The sequence below is a fragment of the Homo sapiens genome, chromosome 4, assembly GCF_000001405.40.
Source record: "Homo sapiens chromosome 4, GRCh38.p14 Primary Assembly".
NCBI lineage: Eukaryota > Metazoa > Chordata > Mammalia > Primates > Hominidae > Homo > Homo sapiens.
In genome coordinates this window covers 53,125,432-53,147,664 of record NC_000004.12, presented here as the reverse complement: position 1 = coordinate 53,147,664, position 22,233 = coordinate 53,125,432, and the positions used below count along the sequence as shown (strand labels likewise).

Below are 22,233 nucleotides of genomic sequence, written 5' to 3'. Positions count from 1 at the left end.
AAGCTACAGGGCAGCCCTAGGGTGTCTTCAAAACTTTCGGCCCCCTGGTCCTTTGGAAGCATGTGTGTGTTTACACTTGGTAAATTGTGTCTTGTCACCATGTGACAGTAAAATCTCTGTTGCGTTCTTTTCCATTTTTACCTCGTCCATTCCAAGGACTGAACATTTTATTTTTCTATGGTACATTGTGAACATCCAAGATTTTTAGTGGAAATAAATGGTAACAGCTGTTTTTTGTGTATAAAATATAATCGTGAACCTTAACCTTGAGATGATCTATCCAAATTTTTCCAGGTGTGGAAATGGCTTGACTGGAAAAGCTCATTTTGGTAATCATTTCAGCACAGAACAACATTGAGCAACATGTTTGCTGTTAACTTTCTCTTCAAAAAGAGGAAGAGTTTCTATTGGTATTTCTTTATTCTAATATTTCCTTTTAACGTGACTTTTCCTATGTAAACTGTATCCACAATAAAGCTTTTCTTCTTTGAGCATTAAAAAAAATTTTTTTAGAGACAGTATCTTGCTCTGTTGTGCAGGCTAGAGTGCACTGGCACAATCATAGCTCACTGCAGCCCCAAACTATGTGTGCATATTCATACACACAGACACACATCTTAAGATGTTGTTTCCTTTCCCGCTTTATTTTTGTTTATAGCACTTACTACTCTAATATACTACACTAGTCCCTGCTTATCTGCATGGGATATTTTCCAAGACACAAGACTGCCAGTAGATTCCTGAAACTATCCATAGTCCTGAATCCTGTATATACTGTGTTTTTTTCTATACATACCTATGATAAAGTTTAATTTGTAAATTAGGCACAGTAAGAGATTAACAATAACTAATAAAAATTAGAACAGTTATAATAATATACTATACTAAAAGTTTTAGGAATGGGGTCTCTCTCTATCTCTGTCTCAAAATATCTTATTGTATGTAATATTTTTGGACCACAGGTAAGTGAAACCATGGAAAGCAAAACCATGGATAAGGGTGGGCTGCTGTTTATGTTTTACTTCTTTTGCTTTTTAATTGTTTTCTCTAACTAGAATGTAAACTCTATGAAAGCAGGGAATTTGTTTTGTGCACTGCTGTATACCTAGACTAGTGCCTAGAACATAGTAGGTGCTCAATGAATGCTTCTGAATGAATAATGTAAGTTGCAAGTTGTATTAATTTGGCCCCTGATTTGAATATGATATTCAATTTGTATTGAATATAAATACAAAGTGTAGAGTTTTATCTTACAGGATTATTTTATATTTTAAGAGGAGTTAAATCATATTATTTAAGATGAGGATTTCTGTATCCACCAAAAATCTCAGAATTTATGATAGAAATAGGTACAGTTTCTGGGAACTTACACAGTTACTCCAGTAATACAGTGCTATTATCACATTCAAAGAATTTTGAAATCCTCTGCTAAATATCACTCGAGAAGTTGTGGAAGATATAAAGGCAATTTTTTTAAATTTAATGCGAGTTATCTACTGACTCACTCAAAGAAATTTTGAACCCTAAGTGACCATTACCCTGTGTGATTCTGTATTTTATTCATCAGATTTAGCAGAAAGTGACTTTTTGTTGTTTTAAAAAGTATTCTGGCTAATATTTGCTGATATAGAAACTATTATAAAGAATATGCTGGAAAATCCGAGGTGATTCCTCTGAAGTAGTGTCAGCATTCATTTGGATATATAGATGCTGCCATTTTTGTTTTTTTGTTAAATAATATTATCTTACAAATATACTATTTTTCTTTAAAATTTCATCTGAAGTACTTACTTTTTTTTCTTTAAAATTAATGGACTCCTATTTGTTTAAGCAATGTTAAGATGATATAATGGAACCTACAACTTGACTGGCCATTTTATAAATTAGGACTTTCAAAACAAAAACTCTGATGCCAAACTTCTTGTAGTATTCTCTCCAGGACAAGAAACACACAAATAAAAAGTGATGCAGTCAGTAAATATCATATACAGACTTGTTTGAAAGCTATCATTCGACTAATGTAATCCATAAATTATGTCTTTATACAAGATTGACATATTTTCATATCATTTTTTATTTTAGAGCATTGGGGAGTCAGCAATGTCCGTTGTGTTAAATCAGCTGCTGCCCATGATTAAGCCTGTAACCCAGAGAACCAACGAGGACTACAGCCCTGAGGAACTGCTGATCCTTCTCATATATATTTATTCTGTCACTGGAGAGCTCACGGTAGACAAAGACCTGTGTGAAGCAGAAGAAAAAGTCAAGAAAGCATTGGCTCAGGTCTTCTGTGAGGAATCTGGATTGTCACCTTTGCTGCAAAAAATTACGGGTGAGTGTCTAACAAAGATACAGGACACAAACATCACTGATACACGAAACAGGTTTCAAAATAAATACTGTTTTGGGAAGAGGAGGTAACCATCTTCACTGGAGTTGTTTGGAATTTCATGAGGCCTGATGAATGCTAGCCAGCCTATAGCAACAGTCCCCAACATTTTTGGCACCAAGGGCAGCCATCAGGGGACAGGGATGGAGGTGCATGGTTTCATGATGAAACCGTTCCACCTCACATCATCAGGCATTAGTTAGAGTCTCATAAGGGGCATGCAACCTAGATCCCTCATATGTGCACTTCACAGTAGGGTTCACACTCCTATGAGAATCGAATGCTGCCGCTGATCTGACAGAAGGCGGAGCTCAGGCAGTAATGCTTGCTTGCCCACTGCACACCTCCTGCTGTGCCCGGTTCCTAACAGGCCATGGACGGGTACCTGTCTGCAGCCCAGGGTTGGCGACCCCTGGCCTATAGGATTAGAGGTTTCCACTGCAGTATTTTTCTGCAATGGCATGGTAGTGACATGGCCTCTCTTCTAATTGCTTGTCTAATTAATATTCCTTAGAGCCTAGACCTTGTTAAAATAGCAAAATACAGAGAGTATTATCTGTAAGGAAAAATAAAATGTAGTACATCCTATTCAAAGAGTTTCCTATTGATATATTCTCTGTGAGATTGTCATTTCAAACTTTAAAAACTGTTTCTTTGAGATGTTACACAATATTATAGGATTGGAAATTGCCATTTTCAGTAGTGTTTTTATATATTATATATATATTATATATAAAAAATATATATATTCCAATTTCCAATGTATATATACCTGTGTGTGTATATATATACACACCTGTATCTATATGTCCAGTATATATATCTGTATGTGTACATATAATATATATCATATATAAGTCCATATATATACATGTATATGTATATATACACATGCACACACACGTGTGTATATATAACATATATACTTACATATACACACACATATATACACACATATATTACATATGTGTGTGTATTTTTTTTTTAATTAAATAGAGATGGGGCCTCACTGTGTTGCCCAGGCTGATCTCAAACTCCTGGGCTCAAGCGATCCTCTCTGCTTGGCCTCCCAAAGTGCTGAGATTACAACTGTCAACCACCATGCCCAGCCTTATATTTTGACTTTTCTTATTTTATTTTGAATTTGAATTAATTGGTATTATCCAGAATAATACCTAAACATCCCAGTAAAGTAGGTTCTGCTAATTTTAGGGAAATATGATTAAACATCATAAAATCTAACTACCTTCACTTCCAATAATAACTGCAATATAACTCATGAAGGCATTCATGTTATTTTGTATCAAATTCATTATTTATATTTTGTGTAAAGCTAATTTCCATGCGTATGGATTGAGCCTGTGTCTATCTGAAAGTAAGAAGTTATTAAAAGTTCTATGTGAAATGTGAGTACTTTAAAAATGTACCACATTTCTATTCATTTGCTGGTGTGTGTGTGTGTGTGTGTGTGTGTGTGTGTATGTTTAGGTGTATGAAGACTTCTTCATTCAGGAAGTTGCAGCTGAGGCCGCTTATATATCCTCCATCTTTTCCTCTTGTCCTCTGTTGGGCCTCTCTGGGAGAAGTGTCCAGACTTCCCGGGAGCAGAATGTGCAGCTGTAAACCTTAGTCTCTCATGCATGTGAACTTTACTTTGTGCCCACTGTTGACCTTTCTTATGGTTGCTTATAGAAAATGAAACCCTGTCAAGATGGGAATTGAATGAAGTTTCCACAGAAATGAAACATTTTCTTGCTTAGTATAAAACCTATTTGCCAACTTAAAATCCATTTAAGAAAAACTTAAAGCCATTTCATTAAGTATAACACTATATGTGATTGCATGTGTTTGGCCATCAATAAATATCAACTTAGAAAGTTTTAATATGATTTATACAGTGCTTGGAAGAGTGCTGGGATTCAAAGTAGGTTTGAATGCTAGGAGAATTTAATTAAAAGTTATTCCTAAGAAGCATAATTTTGGAAACAGATAACAAGATGACATGTTTTAACCTAGGTTATTTGGATAGCTTTTTTAAACATTTATATGTTGCTATGGTACTTTTGGAACTGAAATCATGCTGTAAGAATATTCATTTGATATTCACTCAAGGTGTTCATTGGCCCAGCACTTCATTTTTTAATTAGTTTCTCTATTTATGGTTGCTTAGGATATTGCATGTTCTTGCTTTTAAAATACTTCTGTGCATTTGTACTAATATTAGGAAAATTTGTATACTCAGAAATTAAAGATTAAAAATTAAGAATTTGTGGAAATTTTAGCATATTTTTAAGTTTTAGAGACATCTTATAATACTAAGTACACACTACAGCTTAGATTAACTTTGGATATACACTTTAAACAGGGTAAAGAAGATGTCAAATAAATTTGACATATTCAAACTTACCACTGGAACACACACACACATTTTTTCAGCCTTTGTGAAGACCAATAGGACTTTATTTCTGAAGATAGACTTACTTGGCCAGTATAGACATACCTCTTACTAAGTATGTTGAGAAATCAAAAATGTACTGAAAAGAAGCATTTGTGTTTTCACTTAGCTGCTGAAATGATTATTGATTTACATCTCAGGATAAAAAACATAGTATTGGGGCAGTGGTGATTCTGACTCGGTCTTGTAGAATAGGAAAGGATATCCCAGTATATATTGGAAAACTGAATTGCCTTCCAAATGTGCTTTGTGTGTGCTGGAACTAGGTTAGCCTGGCTTTTACAGTGAACTTGCCTACAGTTTGCTGTTGGAAAGTTGGCGTAAGGTTTGCACTCATGTTATTCCGATGTACAGTTTTGGCTTTCTTGTTACTGAGTGGCAAAATTTATTGTATGCCTTATGCACATTTTGTGGTTGATGAAAATTTGGTTAAAAAGAATTATTGAAAATAGGGAATCGATTAACAATTGAATAACAATTCTACTTTTTATATAGTGCTTTAGTTTTATAGGTTTGGATAATCTTAAAAGACACATTTCTGAACACCAGCTCCAAGTGTTGATATCTGAAAGATCAAAATCCCTAAAGCCTAAGTTCCTAACATCTAAAATCCTGAAAATCACAAACACAGGGTAGTTGAATCATGTTTGGTGGAACCATTTTCTTGTTATTGTCTTTATTTGGAAATTAAGTATGGTTTAAGAAGATGTGCATGGTTGTCAAGTTGACAAGGGGTGGACTTGTGGACTTAATTTTACTTGTCAACTTGACTGTATTAAAGAATACCTAGAAATCTGGTAAGACATTATTTTGGGTGTGTCTGTGAAGGTGTTTCCAGAGGAAATGAGTGTGTGAGCCTGAGTGGATTTGGTGGGGAAGATCAACCCTCGGTGTTGGTGGGCAGCATCCAAACAGCTGGGGCCGGGATAGAACTATAATAATACAGAAAGCAAATTGGTCTTTCTCTGAGAGCTGGGACAGACTTTTCTTTTGCTGCCTTAGACATCAGAACTCCAGGCTTGCTGGACTTTAGACTCCAGAACTTACATCACTGATCCCCAGAATCCTGAGGCTTCTTCAGCCTGAGCCATGTTACCAACATCCAGTATAAATTGGAGGTATAAAATGTGTAGACTTTCAAAGAGTTCTAACTGATTTAATGTTTTTTTTTTTTTCAAATTTGACTCCACAAATGTACATTATCACAACATTGACTTTGTGTGTAAGCATTGTACATGTATATAAAAGCATTGAAACTTCCTCAGTAAATGAAGAGGTGTCCTTTTCATACATCTGCACTTGTGAAAGACAAAATTTCTCAAAATCTTGGCTCTTGTGGGTAGTGACTCGTTGTGTGTTTTGTTTTGTTTTTTTCCTGTCTCAGCCATTTTGGTTTTTGATCAATCTTGTCAAAAGACAAGAGGTTGTTCATCATAGTAATTCAGATGATTGCAGTTACGTAAAGCTGGGTGCACACAATTACCAATTAGAGAGATATATGTATACATTTCCCTTTTTGACCCTATTTCTCTATAAATATATTTCCTCTCATCTTAACTGTTATACCTCTGTGACTGTCATTAGTATACCTGAGTGTTTATGCTTACAAAAATATAGATTATCATTGGCTGTTTTTTTGTGTAAAGTGGCTTATGGAATGTTCTGTCATGTTGTTTATCAAATAAATCACCTTTTAAAAATGTAAATATCTTTAAAGATTAAAAAATTTTTTTTCCAGAATTATACTTTTAGGATTACAATGTTTAGGATTTCAGCTTTAGGGCTTCTGATCTTTTAGGATTTCAACATTAAGGATTAGGGAGTTCAGGACTGTATCTTTTGGGTATATGATTGGCTACCCTCCATTACCATCTTAACTGTTGATAGGATCAAGAAAGTAACCATTTTTGTATACTAAAAATTTAAGTGTGCTAACATCACCCAACTGATAAACAGTAGAGCCTGGAATTGAGCCCAGGTATTGTGGATCTGTAGCCCATGTCTTTAAACATGATATTCTAAACCTGCCACAACCTCACCTGTGGTAACCATTTCATGTATTATATTCTGTAACTCATGTTTGCTTACATATATCGTTTTATGCCGTGCATGCTCAACCATCCCATTATGTTCTTGTATTCTGAACAGAGAATTAATATTCTGGTTAATATGTTAGATATTGCCTATGCTTATTAATCTGTCTGTATTAGCTACTTATAGATCCTGCCATACCTCCCTATTTTTATGAATGCATCCTCTTTAGTTTCTGCATTGTTATAAAGAAATTAAAGTATCACTTCAAGCCATTGAAATCTATTGGTTGCCCAGCTTTCTAAAACAAGGCTAGGAAACTTAAATTTTATTTCAATAATATCTCTTGACGGTGATTGCCCTGTGGATTAAAATTTATATATATATATATATATATTAGCATTTTTGGTGTTCTTTTTATTTTACTCATACTATTTTTCTTTGGACTCAATCACAATAACAGAATTAAAGATCAAAGTGTAAAAGTTAAAGACCAGTACAGATTCAATAATTATTCTTTTCTACATACTGTGTTTAAATGATATCCCTTTTTCTTTTTGTTCTTTTTTTTTATTTTTTTAGTATTTATTGATCATTCTTGGGTGTTTCTCGGAGAGGGGGATTTGGCAGGGTCATAGGACAATAGTGGAGGGAAGGTCAGCAGATAAACATGTGAACAAAGGTCTCTGGTTTTCCTAGGCAGAGGGCCCTGCCGCCTTCCGCAGTGTTTGTGTCCCTGGGTACTTGAGATTAGGGAGTGGTGATGACTCTTAACGAGCATGCTGCCTTCAAGCATCTGTTTAACAAAGCACATCTTGCACCGCCCTTAATCCATTTAACCCTGAGTGGACACAGCACATGTTTCAGAGAGCAGGGGGTTGGGGGCAAGGTTATAGATTAACAGCATCCCAAGGCAGAAGAATTTTTCTTAGTATAGAACAAAATGGAATCTCCTATGTCTAATTCTTTCCAGACAGACACAGTAACAATCCGATCTCTCTTTCTTTTCCCCACACATCCCCCCTTTCTATTCGACAAAACCACCATCGTCATCATGGCCTGTTCTCAATGAGCTGTTGGGTACACCTCCCAGATGGGGTGGCGGCCGGGCAGAGGGGCTCCTCACTTCCCAGATGGGGCGGCCGGGCAGAGGCGCCCCCCACCTCCCAGACGGGGCAGCAGCCGGGCGGGGGCTGCCCCCCACCTCCCGGACGGGGCGGCTGCCGGGCGGAGGGGCTCCTCACTTCCCAGACGGGGCAGCTGCCGGGCAGAGGGGCTCCTCACTTCTCAGACTGGGCGGCCGGTCAGAGACGCTCCTCACCTCCCAGACGGGGTGGCGGCGGGGCAGAGACACTCCTCACTTCCTAGACAGGATGACGGCCGGCAGCCGGGAAGAGGCGCTCCTCACTTCCCAGACTGGGCGGCTGGGCAGAGGGGCTCCTCACATCCCAGACGATGGGCGGCCGGGCAGAGACGCTCCTCACTTCTTGTGGGGCGGGGTGGCGGCCGGGCAGAGGTTGCAATCTCGGCACTTTGGGAGGCCAAGGCAGGCGGCTGGGAGGTGGAGGTTGTAGCCAGCTGAGATCACACCACTGCACTCCAGCCTGGGCAACATTGAGCACTGAGTGAGCGAGACTCCGTCTGCAATCCCGGCACCTCGGGAGGCCGAGGCTGGCAGATCACTTGCGGTCAGGAGCTGGAGACCAGGCCAGCCAACATGGCGAAACCCCGTCTTCCCAAAAAATACAAAAACCAGTCACGCGTGGCGGCGCGCACCTGCAATCCCAGGCACTTGGCAGGCTGAGGCAGGAGAATCAGGCAGGGAGGTTGCAGTGAGCCGAGATGGCGGCAGTACAGTCCAGCCTCGGCTGGGCATCAGAGGGAGACCGTGCAAAGGGGAGACGGAGACGAGAGGGAGGGGGAGGGGGAGGGGGAGAGGGATTTTCTTTCATCTGTTAAATATGTAGTTTACTTTTGACAGTTTCTTTAATTTCTGTATATTCTTCCCTTGTATGGAAAGGCAATACAAATCTCTGACAAAATGAAGCAAAACAAAACAAAAATTTAAGCATACTCAATGGCAGCATACTCTTTTACTTTTATTCTGTTCACTTTTTCATAGATACTTTTGAGGAGATTTCTAGCGTGGTGGGCAAAAATTCACTTTTCTACTCACACAAAATGTCAAGGGTTGGCTCTCTGCTTTTCAATGGTAGGGAGCTGTAAAAAGAAAATTGGTACAGCCAAGTATGTTGATTAGTGTTATGCTTTCTCAGTCATGCTAAGTTCTAAGAGAGTATCAGTTTCAACATACGTTAGTGTTTGCATGGCAGTCACAAGAGAAAACAAAGAAAACCATTTGAATTTTCTTCAGAGAACGAAATCAAAACACTATTTTTAAAGATCTGTGTAAACTTGGAATGTCATCATATAGAGAGGTATATCAAAAAAAGCATAGTGTTTGGATGTAGAAATTCTTGATTTAAAAGTCTGGGCTCTGCTGTCTTTCAGCAGTGAGTGTTAGTGGGCAAATCATCCATCCTTGAACCTTGATATAAACGTAACTGCCCTACTGACCATTCTTGATTTTGCTGAGAATAAAATGATGTTATGTGTGTTAACTAATGTTTGGTCCATCTAGTATTATAAATAGGCTATTTTTCTCCCACCACCATTATGATTTTGATAGCATCTAGCTGTCATATAGGGTAGTGCTTCCCCACCCTTTTCTCATCATGTGCATAGACAATGAGAATGTTTGCATAGTAGATTGAGGTAAGTGGACGAGACTCTTATGAACAAAGGCAACCAGCCCTGGGGGCTCTGGCCAGTCTAGGTCCTACCCAGTTGACCTGTGGACTGAGGTGAAGCAGCAGCTTGGCACACCTCTGACCTATTAGGAGCAAACCAATGCTTTAGGGTATATTGGTCAGATGGCTCTGAATCAGGAAACAAAGGAAAACAAGACTTTAATATTACTTTTTGACACAAAAAACTACTTTGGAAAAATTTGTCTTGCTAAACATGTTTTGTTATTACTCATTGATTTACTCACATTATTACTCATTGATTTTCCCTGTATTTCTATAGTATCTTTAAAGTCCAGGTCAACAAGGGCTAGATCTGTTTAGGCTTAGTGTAAAGCTAGAGAATGAATAACTCAAAGTATCTATGCAGTGGTTCATGATAGAGGCATGATAATACCCTAAGAACTGTAATTTACATTTATCAAACTCTTATTTTACTGTTGATAATTTGGGACTATCAATTACTATAGCTTTATATGCATTAGGATACCCAGTTGTATACAATGAAAAATTTACCATATTAGCATAACAACTGGGGTTTGTTTTTCTAAGCAAGAAGTCCAGACAGAATTCATGCTCTTTCTGACTTCCTCCTTCACTGTCCTAGGTGTGGTTTTTATCATCATGGTCATGCGCTGGATGCTTCCCCTCCAGGGAGAAGTGTCCATGCTTTGGGAAAGAAGTGAGGAAGGATGAAGGTAAAAGGCATATACTGGCCAAATCTGTCCTTTTTTATTAGGAAAACAACAGCTTTCTTGAAAGCCCCACTCAGAAGACTTGCATCCTTGGCTAGATCTCGGTTTCATGGCAACCTCTGACTGCAAGAGAATCTGATGAGTGTATATTGTAACTGGGTGTATATTTGTCATAAACAAAGTAAGGATTCTGTTAGAAGATAGAAAGTGAAAATGTACATTAGGTAGGAAACTTGTATTTGCTACAATTACAGACTTCTCTAACAGAGGAAATTCTAAGGCAAGATACTGTGAGTTGGAGTGATGCCCAGTGTTTTAATATTACAGTTATAATATTAAAATTTTTTACAGTGTATACTGAAATAATGATCTATTCTGTGCTGGACTTATATCATAAACATTCTCAGATTATCAATATTTATTGACCACATTTATGTACCTAGCATTAGTCTAAGCTCTCTAAGCATTGAAACCCTGGGACAGTGGTAATAGAATGTAGAGGCTCTGAGCACAGGATTCGGAGTCAAGTGGATCTGGGTTCTGGTTTTGACTCTGACTCTTAGTAGTTGTGTGCTGATTTCCATAAACTTGCATGTCTAATAAATGTAGCCCAAATATCTGAATTCAAGTGAAATGTATCTGTAATATGAACTTCTCTTTGGGAGAATTTATTTGCAGATACACTACTAGTTTTTCAAACATGGTTTGGGACAGACAATATGGTATTGTGTCTAAATCTGGAAATGGTAGAGTTAGTTTTCATTGTGTTTTCAGGTTTTCCATGACAATTCTTTCCTTTAATCCATCAAAGTATACTTTTTGGGAGTTTTGTGGATGTCTGGGTTTTTATGGTAGGTAAAAGGAGTCATAAGGCATAATATTATTGTGTTTTATTGATGGAAATGTTCTCAACAATTATCTAGTCTATTCGCTCTGCTCATGAGGACAACAAGGTTAATTGAGGCCACAAAAGGTTATTTGACTTGCCTCAAATCACCAATCATAGCCTGTTCAATGAGGGGATAGGACTAAGGTTTGTGTCTCCCAATTCCCAGTCCAGAATTCCTTTTACTAGACCAGTGATTCCCAACCTTTGGCTTACGGATCCCTGGGAAAACCTAAGACTTAGTGCAAAGGTTTACTGATTCATGTGTGCTTTATGTATCATCCATGAACTAAATATTACTCTCACATATAAATATACAAATATTTGTAGATACAGTTGTGATTTATAAAAGATAAATTTATTTAAAGACAGTGCTGAAGTTGCATAATTTTTTCCCATTTTTCAATTAACAGGTATCAAAAGCATAATTATATTGTGTCTTCATACTTTAAAAATGGTTGAAATCATGGGTTAGCACAGGAATCTCAAACTCAGGTATTTACAGAGGCTAGCAAGAAATATAAATAAGTAAAGTAGGTTAGGTTTTGGGGAAACAACAGTGAAAATGCAATGATAAATGGCAGGGATGTATAGTCTTACTAAAAGGGACAATAGGGAGTGGTGGAGACTGTGTCAAACTGGAGATCCTCTTTTTTTTTTTGAGATGGAGTCTCGCTCTGTTGCCAGGCTGGAGTGCAGTGGTACAATCTTGGCTCACTGCAACCTCTGCCTCCTGGATTCCAGCGATTCTCCTGCCTCAGCCTCCCGAGTAGCTGAGACTACAGGCACGTACCACCATGCCCAGCTAATTTTTCATATTTTTAGTAGAGATGGGGTTTCACCATGTTGGCCAGGATGGTCTCGATCTCTGATCTCTTGACCTTGTGATCCGCCCACCTCGGCCTCCCAAAGTGCTGGGATTATAGGCGTGAGCCACCACGCCTAGCCTGAGATCCTCTTATTTTTGCCAGGGAAGCATGAGTCTGGTATTGCCATCTCTCAAGAAACCAGGAATCTGGATTTTTAAAAATTTGAAATCACCAAAGTTTAAGAAATTGGTTTATTTTCCAAAACATTACATGAGTCAAATAAATCTTATTGGGGGACAGAATTCAGCTTGTGGACTTAACAATTTCCAGTCTTTATTCTAGAGCCCCCGCCTTAGGCATTGATTACAGAGGAATGCTTTTGAATTTCTAACTCTAGAAATTATTAGAAATCTAAAAGATCTCCAGATGGATAAAATGATGCCCTGTACTTTTATCAGAAAGCAAGGGAAAGTACCCAATGATCTCCTTTTTTGATTACTTTTAACTAAAAAAAAAAATTACATTTGTTTACATTTTAATCTGGCTTAAGTTTACTAGTGATGTAGAATAGTTTTTTGGTTTTTTTTTCAAATAGATTCTATAAAGTTACCATTTAAGTGGAAGTAGGCTTCTCATAGAACTCTGTCTATTGAACAGAAAAGGCTGAGAGGCAGTTTTGGGTTAAATACAAGGCAGACATCTCTGGAAACTAAAGCCAGCTAGAACGTCTGATTTACTCCATGAGAAGAGCTTCCCAGCATGAGGAACTGACTGACACTGGGCCTTCTGCATTGGTAGGAATTGCACTAATTGAGCTCTAGGTCTTTAAGAAACTAGAATGTGAAAAGTAAGTTTTATGGAAAAGTGTGAGGCTCTCCTCATGTTCTGTCAAGATGGTATGTTTTCTAGCTACAGCTATATCTGTGCTTCCTTTGCTATTTAATTCCCAAAACTTTGACATAAAATAATGGTATAGAGATTCCTGTTACTCGAATTGGAATAATCAAAAGCTTCACATTTATTTGCATAAAATGTATAAATTACCTTTGTAGTGAACCACGCTTTTTAAAAATTATCATCAACTTTTTAAAAATTTTGATTTTAGTTCTTCTCTAAATTTTTTCTTCTCTATTTTTCTCACCTGTTCATTACCTTGTTTAAATTCAACCATGTATAACAAATGAGGAAAGACAGGTCTGGTTTAAAAAGCACTGTTTTTTTTTTAAATTTTATTTTATTGTGATAAGAACACTTAACATGAGATCTACCCTCTTAAGTTTTGAAGTGTACAATACGGTATTGTTAACCATAGGCACCATGTTGCACAGCAGAATAAGTAGAATAAGTTCTACTCTTTCACCTTACATACCTGAAACTTTATGCCCATTGATTAGCAAGCAACTCCCCAGTTCCCCTCACCCCAGCCCTGGGTAACCATCATTTCACTCTTTGATTCTATGAATTTACCTATACCTCATATAAATGGAATCACACAGTATGTGCCCGTCTGTAACTGGCATATTTCACTTACTGTAATGTCCTCAAGGTTCATCCATGTTGTCACATATTACAGAATTTTCTTCTTTTTTAAGGTTGAATGAATAGTCCATTTTTTCAAAGAGATATTGGCATTCTGGTATTCCCTGAAGCACTATTCATAATTGTCAAGCTATGGAAACAACCTAAATGTTCATTGACAGACAAATGGAAAGCAGTGTTCTTAAAGACATTGGGAAGGTAGGCATAGTCTAGTGAGCTTTCAATTGGGGTTCTCTTACATTCCCCACTAGAAATCTAACAGAGCAGAGTCTTATCAACTGTGAATGAGGAAGGAGTTGAGGATTTGTTTTTCCTTGGGTTGTGGAAGGCAGCTCATGTTAATGTCTTTAGCTCTAGTTTCCAAAGGAAACCATGTATGTATTCTTATCCATAGTAAAACAAGACCACATTCTACAACCAGTAGTAAAAATCTATTTGCAATGATTTGTTTATGTTATCTCTCTTCTTTGGAAAAGTCTGGGTCTAATGTAGACCATATAAAATTATTATTGTTCTTCATGGCTACCACTTAATTATAAAAGCTTTCATCTCCATTAGCACAAGGCATGGACGTTTTGTTTATTATGTTTGAGAAGTTATGTCTTTCAAACAAAGCATTTTTCATACTTAGCCAAGTAATTTTCTCCAGCCTTGTAGAAAGTGAGTCTTCTTTATAACATATGAAGTACTTCCAAACAGAGAATTTTTTTTTTTTTTTTTTTTTTTGAGACGGAGTCTTGCACTGTCGCCCAGGCTGGAGTGCAGTGGCGCGATCTGGGCTCACTGCAAGCTCCGCCTCCCGGGTTCACGCCATTCTCCTGCTTCAGCCTCCCGAGTAGCTGGGACTACAGGCACCCGCCACCACGCCCGGCTAATTTCTTGTATTTTTAGTAGAGACGGGGTTTCACTGTGTTAGCCAGGATGGTCTCGATCTCCTGACCTTGTGATCCACCCGCCTCGGCCTCCCAAAGTGCTGGGATTACAGGCATGAGCCACCGCACCCGGCCTCAAACAGAGAATTGTAAAAGACAAGGAGCTAATAAGAATTTTTCCTCTTATGCTTCCCTTATTATCACCTCTGCATTCTTCTCTCATCCCACAGTTTTTCCTCAGTAATTCATCAAATTTCAGGATATGTATACCTGCATATTTCTGCTCCTCAGGACAGTATTCCAGTTGAAAGACAGTTTTCAGGATTTTGAAAATCTTTTCCTTGAAAAATTGTCCCTTAAACCTTGAGCATACCTGCTGGCTTGGTGGTGACAAGGATGTTGCTATGGCAACTGGAAGACTGATTCTACACGTCCATCACCAGCTTTCATGTCACCCACACTTGAATGAAAATTTTAACTCATTACAGTAAGTGAAAGTGTACAAAACAATGACTGTCAAATCCACCCACTCAGCTAAAGGAAAACTTCAGGGTGTAGGGGGAACACTCATTTCAGAAAGGATTTTGACTAATCTCTTGTTTCTAATTTAAATATTCTCATTTATTGTGCCATGCCAGCATTAGACTTTTCCATTACAGAATACATCTTCATTTCTAGTGTTTCAGATTTGTTATTTCAGGGCTGCCAAAACAAAACAAAAGAAAACAAAAAACAGCTTTAAATACTTGTTTTCTATTGTGGTTTGCAACGTTGTTTGGTATAATAGGGTCTATTTTTTCTCTTGATTTCTAAGATTTCTGCTGGAAACTCTGACGAAGAACATATGTCTGCCAAAATCACTCCCAGGAGAAATGTTGGAACCGTTATATTTAGTTTTACTATCCAACATATTAAAATAGTTACCCATAGCACATATTACTAAACACTGTATCAGTGAAGTTTAAGATGTTTAATACATATTTAAAATATATCACAAGCTATGTAGAAAGATACTTAGAGCTTCCTATTGAGGTAGCTAACTAGTTAAGTAATTTGCTAACATATTAAAGGATCACTACAAATTACTTTCTCCAGTACTTAATTTTTCCATGCCACATCACAAAAATGATTATTCTTATCTGAGACACTGGAATGAATCTTCTTCTACTAATATTTATATGTGTACAAATGCATGACACATACTGTCCATATCACCAATTTTTATGACAATGCTGGCAGTAATAATTGTGTTTGTAATTATTCAATGAATTGTTTAAGAGATTAGCTATTACTGACTCTTGTTAACTCTACATTAGATACAATACATATTTCTCAATCATGAAAGAGAAGAGATGGAATGCATGGAACACAAGAGTAGTTTTCTTGAACACAAAGCTATGGATCAAATTGGAGAGATCATGTGATGTGGTGGAAAAGAGCACAGCGGGGAGGAGGCCGAATTTTCACTCCTAAGTATGCCCACAGTTGTGTAACCTGCAAGTCACTTAGCTTGCTGCAGACTCAGTATACTCATCATAAAATGAGAATCTTGTTTTAGACAAATCTAAGATCTCTTCTTTCTCTGCCATTCTATGGTTCTAGCTTCATATGCTTTTTATTTTTATCTGAATCAATATACTCCCTCATCCACTTCCAAATCAGCTCTTCCTCAGTACTATCTGTCTTTTTCAGGGTCACACCATTATCTCAGGAGGGAAGCAATGGAGTCATTGACTCACCTTCGCCCCCATGGTAGGCAGCACCTCCCTGCAGCCCATTTCTATTTCCTTTGATACACTGTTCAGATCTCTCTAAAGATGCCTCTTTATCTCAGATACCCATTGGCCCATGGCCTTCTATCTGACATCTCTGACTCGTTGCATACCCACCGATTCATCCTGCATACTGATCCCAGGCAACATTCTTAAATATAATTTTATATTTTAATGCCTTTAAGCTTTTTTATCTATTATTACAGTAATAAATTCTCATTGTCAAAAATTTGTAATCATAAAGAACAAAGTAGAGCCCACATATAAATTTCATTTTGTTGGTACTGCCTTTTTCCTTTTTTTCTGCTGAATCATTCATTTTATGCTTAATGATTTAAAATCAGAGCACTTGGATCATTACAGTTATTAATTCTTAGTCATATATTTTGCTAATATGTTTTTCTGGTTGGTGTTTGCCTTTTATATTTGCGTGTAGATAGAGATATTTGCCAGAGATAGAGCTATATTTAGGAGAGTTGGGGCAGGCGCCCAACAGCATGATCAGTGTTCTCTGCATCTTCTTCCTTTTAGTTATATTCTCTGCATTTTTAGTTAGTGTTCTATGCATTTTCTTCCTTTTAGTTATCGACCTCATCCTTTCCTATCACAACTGCCTCTGTATAACCCCTCATCACCCCCAACCACTTTTGGTTTATGTCATTCTAGAATAGCAACCCACGAAAAAAGAGGGTTTTTTCTTCCAGAGGTTGTAGATCAGTCCCAGGAAAGGAAGCTGACTGACCTTCAGTCACTTGCCAGGGGGATGGGATACCCTTTGGCCAAACCAAAGTCGTGTGGCCATAACTGTGTGTGTGTAGAGGGAGAGGGGAGATGGGGGAAGGGATTTGAAGAAATGGTCAGTGGGGTAGCACTGCAATTGGCAGTCCCACAACTGCCACTTAGATTGACAGTTGGAGTGATTCCACAAAGGAAGGGATACCAATGTACAAAAACTAGATACGTCTACCATAAGAGCATTCATTAAAGAACCAGGTTTATATCTCTGTATTTTAAAAATAGAGGTATCTTGTCTTCTCTCACAGTGAGTTTGATATTTTACTTATAAAGAGATGAAAATGTCACTGACATCTAAACAATTACTTGAAGATTTTTTGTATGCCTAACAATAATTGTATGGAATTTCCTCTAGTGTCTTAAAAACCTAAAAACAGTGTCTTAAAAACATCTCTCTTTATGTTTATAATTTCCTTTATGATGGATTATTTATAATTGGATTTTTCCTTATTACAGAAGTCATACTTTTTTATTTTAGAATACTTGAAAGATGTTATAGTTATTTTTAAAAATTTTTATAAATTTATGGGACACAAGTCTAATTTTGTTACATGGATATATTGTATAGTGGTGAAGTCAGGATTTTCAGTGTGATCTTTTGCTCTTTAATAAACACAGAATAAAATGTAAACTAATTTATAAACCCACTACCCAGAGAAAACCACTGTTAGTATTTTAATATGTATTTGGTAAATAGAAAGCCTGATCCCATATATGCTTTCCAGGTGAAGGTATCAGGTGGGGTTTTGTTTTGCATGTGTTTTGCAGTTGGTGTATTAAGGCCACCAGTGCCTAGAATAAAGAAGGCATGGATATACTGTCAACATAAAAATATTAAAACTAACATTGGAAAGGAAGTTGTTGACAATGTTGGTGCTGAATTTATGTCCCACATTCTAGGAGACATTATTGCATAAAAGAAAATTTATCCTTAATCAGAATGTAAAAAGGATCCTCTAATTTCAAAATGAGGTTCATTAAGATCTTGAATGGGAGGAAAAACATTTAGGTACAACCATTTCAGCCTAAAATTGCAGCAAAAAAATATTGAAAGAGATGCAACAGGCTCTAGGCTTTGACTTACATTATTTTATGATGTGAGAATGGAAGATTAACATTTTTAAAGCCAGAAGGAGAATGTATGTGTGCAACCATGCTGATATTGATTCATATTTTAAAATTTAGTTTTAAATGTAAACAATAATATAATTCCCACAGAAGCCTGACTTTTTAGGCCTTCATGTGTTGCTTGTTTATTCTGTCTTTAGCACCTGGACTGAATTGGTCCCAAGTGGAGTATTAATTTTCATTGAAGTGTTTACAAAATGAAGCCCCTTTCTCTATTTTTTTCTGTTCGTTTTGTTTTGTTTTGTTTTGTTTTGTTTTGTTTTGTTTTCTTCCAAGATACACGCCTGAACTTTCCTGTCTGGCTCTTGAGTTGTTGCCAACCTGACAGAAAGCCAACTGGCAGAGGAAACTGATGAGGTGCAGTGTTCATTAGCAACTTACATTTCCCAACATGCAAAATGCTTTAGAGTTTTAATTTTTGAAGCTTTTTTAAAGCCAAATTATACTGTAAAATGACTAAACTCTTTATTTCCTTATTTGTGTTGTGGTAGTTAAGAAAAACAAATCTGTACTGTTCTTCTCACATAGTGATGTACAATTTGGGGGTTCTTTTCCATACAAATCACCACCTTGCAAAGAATTCAATCTTTGGCCAAGAAAGTTTTCTTCATAGTTAAAATGTGATTGGATACATGCTAACTGGGAATGCACAGCCCTTCTGTGAAATCATAGAAACAGTGCACCACATAAACAATAACACTGTAGTTATAGTTCATAGTATTTTGGTCATCTCTTCCATGGATAACAAGTGAAGCACATATTTTCATATATTTTAAAAATGTAGGATGCTTTAAATTTTGTTCCCAGAAACATATTTCAAGGCACCAATTTATTCTGTAAATGTATCTTTATTATTTTTTTAAACTTTAATCTCTTGCTTACCATTCCCCTTCACCCCTCCTCCCCTCCGAACCTTACAGCTCTCCGAGAGAAATCAGAAAACATGCACATACTATATCTTATAACTGGTCACCTTGGGAGGCTGCACATTATATTCTTGATTACTTCAAGTTGTTCTCCTCGGAAACGCAGAAGCCCAGACAAATGACATCATTTGAGATGAGTACATGCCTTTAATTTTAGAGATGAACATTTAATGGCTTTTGACTTTGAGGTGATTATAGCATTTCAGAGCAGCAGCCCTTCCAGATATTAGAATGGAAGTGTTGAAGCTGTTACACATCAGGTCAGCTATATACAGAATTTAGAACAGAACAAAAGCCATCAGGATATATTTGTTGGAATTTTTTGATGGCGTATGTGCACGTAAAAATCAAAATATCAAATTCTTAATTACTTCCTTAGTATTATCTTTACGTTTTTTCTTGAGCCAATTTATGTCTAAATTTATTTTAATGTCAGATTCAACAAATGAAAACAATTCTGGGAACATGCATATATTAGATTTTTTATTGGCTTTTTTTTTTTTTTTTTTTTAGGACATGGCCCTTGTTCTGCAATTTGATAGTGAAAAAAATCAGTATTTTGCTTAAAATAACAGAATAGCAAAAATGCACATGATTGGGCTAAAAAAAAAAAAAAACAAAAAACTGGGTTATTACTCTCCAGAGTAGAGAGGAGCTAGAAATGGTTACCAAATAGTGTGCTACACCCACCGTGTCCTCTCTGTCTGGACCAAAGTGACACACTCCTCCACATTGGACTTTTCAGAGCAGCAGAAGGTCATTTTTCCATGGCCAGTTTCTTAGTCTGGAGGCCATTTTTTTCTTTCATTCCCTCTGTCCCAGACACAGGCCTTGCAGTTCCTTAAATATATTATACTGCCTGAGATACTAAGTGCTTGCAAGAGCAGTTCTCTGCAACTGATTCCCAGCCCAGCCCAGCTAACCGTTTCCGAGCTCAGCTCAGACAACTCCTGAGATCAGCCTTCTCTGAACCTCCAGACCAGCTCAATGCCTCACAACCCCATTGTGTGTCGTAAAGTGAACAAAGTTTATTACCTATTTGTGTGTTACTTTGATTAGTGTCTGCCTTCCCTCCAGGATCATAAACTCTGTGAGTTTTGCTCAACGTTGTATCTCAAGCACCAGTTGTGCTGGGGGTTGGGGTGGGGGGTGCGCACATAGAAGACTCTTAATAAATATTTATTGCATGAATAAAGGAATAAGAAAGAAGCTGATTGCATTTCAGAGTTTCCTCTGATGCTGTGCAACAGGGCAAATATGTTGCAAGTTTACCAGATGAACTTAGCTTTGGAGAATAGAAAGTTTGGTTGAAGAAGGAATTGGAACATCAAAGGAAACCATGAGTTTTGGATGAGAGTTTTTAAATCCCATTGTTTGAAATATAGTGAAGAAAATATTTCATGAAATGAAAACAAATCACATCAGCTGTTAGTGGAAATGTTGCTTTGTGTTTTAATATTTTTACATGACCAGATTTTTAAATTCTGAAGTTTTGGGTTAAATTAGCTGTTTCTTTCTCTACTTCTTCAGGTTTTTTTCTTCTTTATTGCTTTTCTCTTCTTTCCTTTTGTCCCCACATCTTGTTTTCCGGTCAGGTACTGAGCACTCCATTCAGCCAACACATGGAATGCAAAATTTTTTATTTAAACCCATCTTTTAATCCTCTGGTTCTCTGAAGGTTTTTTTTTCCAACCTGATTATGATAGGAATGAAACAGGCCAAATAACTTTTTGGGAGGAACTCAGGGAGAAAGAGGAGAGCTCTCTGCCGAGACGGTGGTTCTCGGGAATCCTGCTTTCCCTGCAGGTGTGGCTCACCCACACAACTTGTACTCTGTAGTTAAGTGGGCAAATTATTTGTCCCACGTGTGAGGGACCTGCAAGGTACCAGTTTTAAGAAGGAAGGTAAATTCCATGTGTACACCATCATTTAAAAACCGGTGTGAGGATGGGCGTGGTGGCTCACACTTGTAATCCCAGCACTTTGGAAGGCTGAGGCGGGCAGATCACTTAAAGCCAGGAGTTGGAGGCCAGCCTGGCCAACATGGCAAAACCCTGTCTCTACTAAAAATACAAAAATTAGCTGGGCATGGTGGCACATGCCTGTAATCCCAGCCACTCAGGAAGCTGAGGCAGGAGAATTACTTGAATCCAGGAGGCGGAGTTTGCAGTGAGCCGAGATCACGCCACTGCACTTCCAGAGAGCAAGACTCTGTCTCAAAACAAACAAAAAACAATGTGATGTAACTTAACGCAATCTGCCATTTTAAAGTGGCAAAAGTGTCTGTTCTTTCATCTTCTTTCTCTCCTCTCCTTTCAACCGATTATTATGGAAGAACAACTGTGCATCTAAGGTAGTACTGGCAAAGGGTCAATAGTAGAGTAGGCAAGGTGTGTGTTGCCATGGAGCTTACTTTTAAGGGGAAAGTGTCTCTCATTAATGCCACAGATATCCCTTAGTTTTAGCGAAACTTCATATTAGTTTTAGCTCAACTTCAACTCTCTGGTTTTCCCTTGAACTCCCTCAGCATGGTCCGCTTCCCTTTGTCCTTCATGGGAGAAGTGCCTGTTGGTAGTATCCAGCTGCAGCCTCTTTGCAAATGTTCCTTGACAAATCTGTCCTCAGCCAGCTTCTGTAGTCCTTTCTGGATGCTCTCCCATACTCTTCCCAACCTGGATGGAACCATCACTCCTGAAACATTTTCTAAAACAACTTCTATTTACCCCATATCTACCCCCTCCCTTTAGTGATCAGGCCCTAAACCCTGCCAGTCAGACATGAAATTGGCAGTTCTAAGTTACAGCATCCTATTGGGTAGTCTTTCATCATAACGGAGAAACTAAGAATATATAATGTTTAATATGAAGTGGCAGGAGTGTGTTTGCTCCTAGCCCCAGGTATCTGTTTCCCTGCATGTATATAACCTGGGCCCTGCCGTCAGGCATGTGTGCCCATTGACAGAAACATGAGCGTGTGTCCCATCTTCTGAGGTTAGCTACTCAACAGCAGGAAGCTGACTGGCTTGTCTGAGCACTTGCTGCTTTTTTGCCTACATGCAGGAGAATATCTGATAAATTTTTGTTGACTGTGATAAACGGGAAAATTTCAAAATGCTAGTAAAAGAGAATA

At 37.7% G+C, this 22,233-nt stretch overlaps 1 protein-coding gene across 7 annotated transcripts in view; it reads left to right on the top strand.

Annotated features, from left to right (window-relative positions):
* SCFD2 (sec1 family domain containing 2) overlaps nucleotides 1–22,233 on the top strand; it is a 493,080-nt gene that overhangs the window by 218,397 nt on the left and 252,450 nt on the right. For 6 of the 7 annotated variants that reach the window (NM_152540.4, XM_017007787.3, XM_047449646.1 and 3 more), the window contains exon 5: nucleotides 2,083–2,332. In NM_152540.4, the coding sequence (NP_689753.2) occupies nucleotides 2,083–2,332 (250 nt within the window). Of the gene's footprint in view, nucleotides 1–2,082; nucleotides 2,417–22,233 lie in introns of those variants that run through there. The other variant, XM_047449647.1, reaches the window with a different exon arrangement.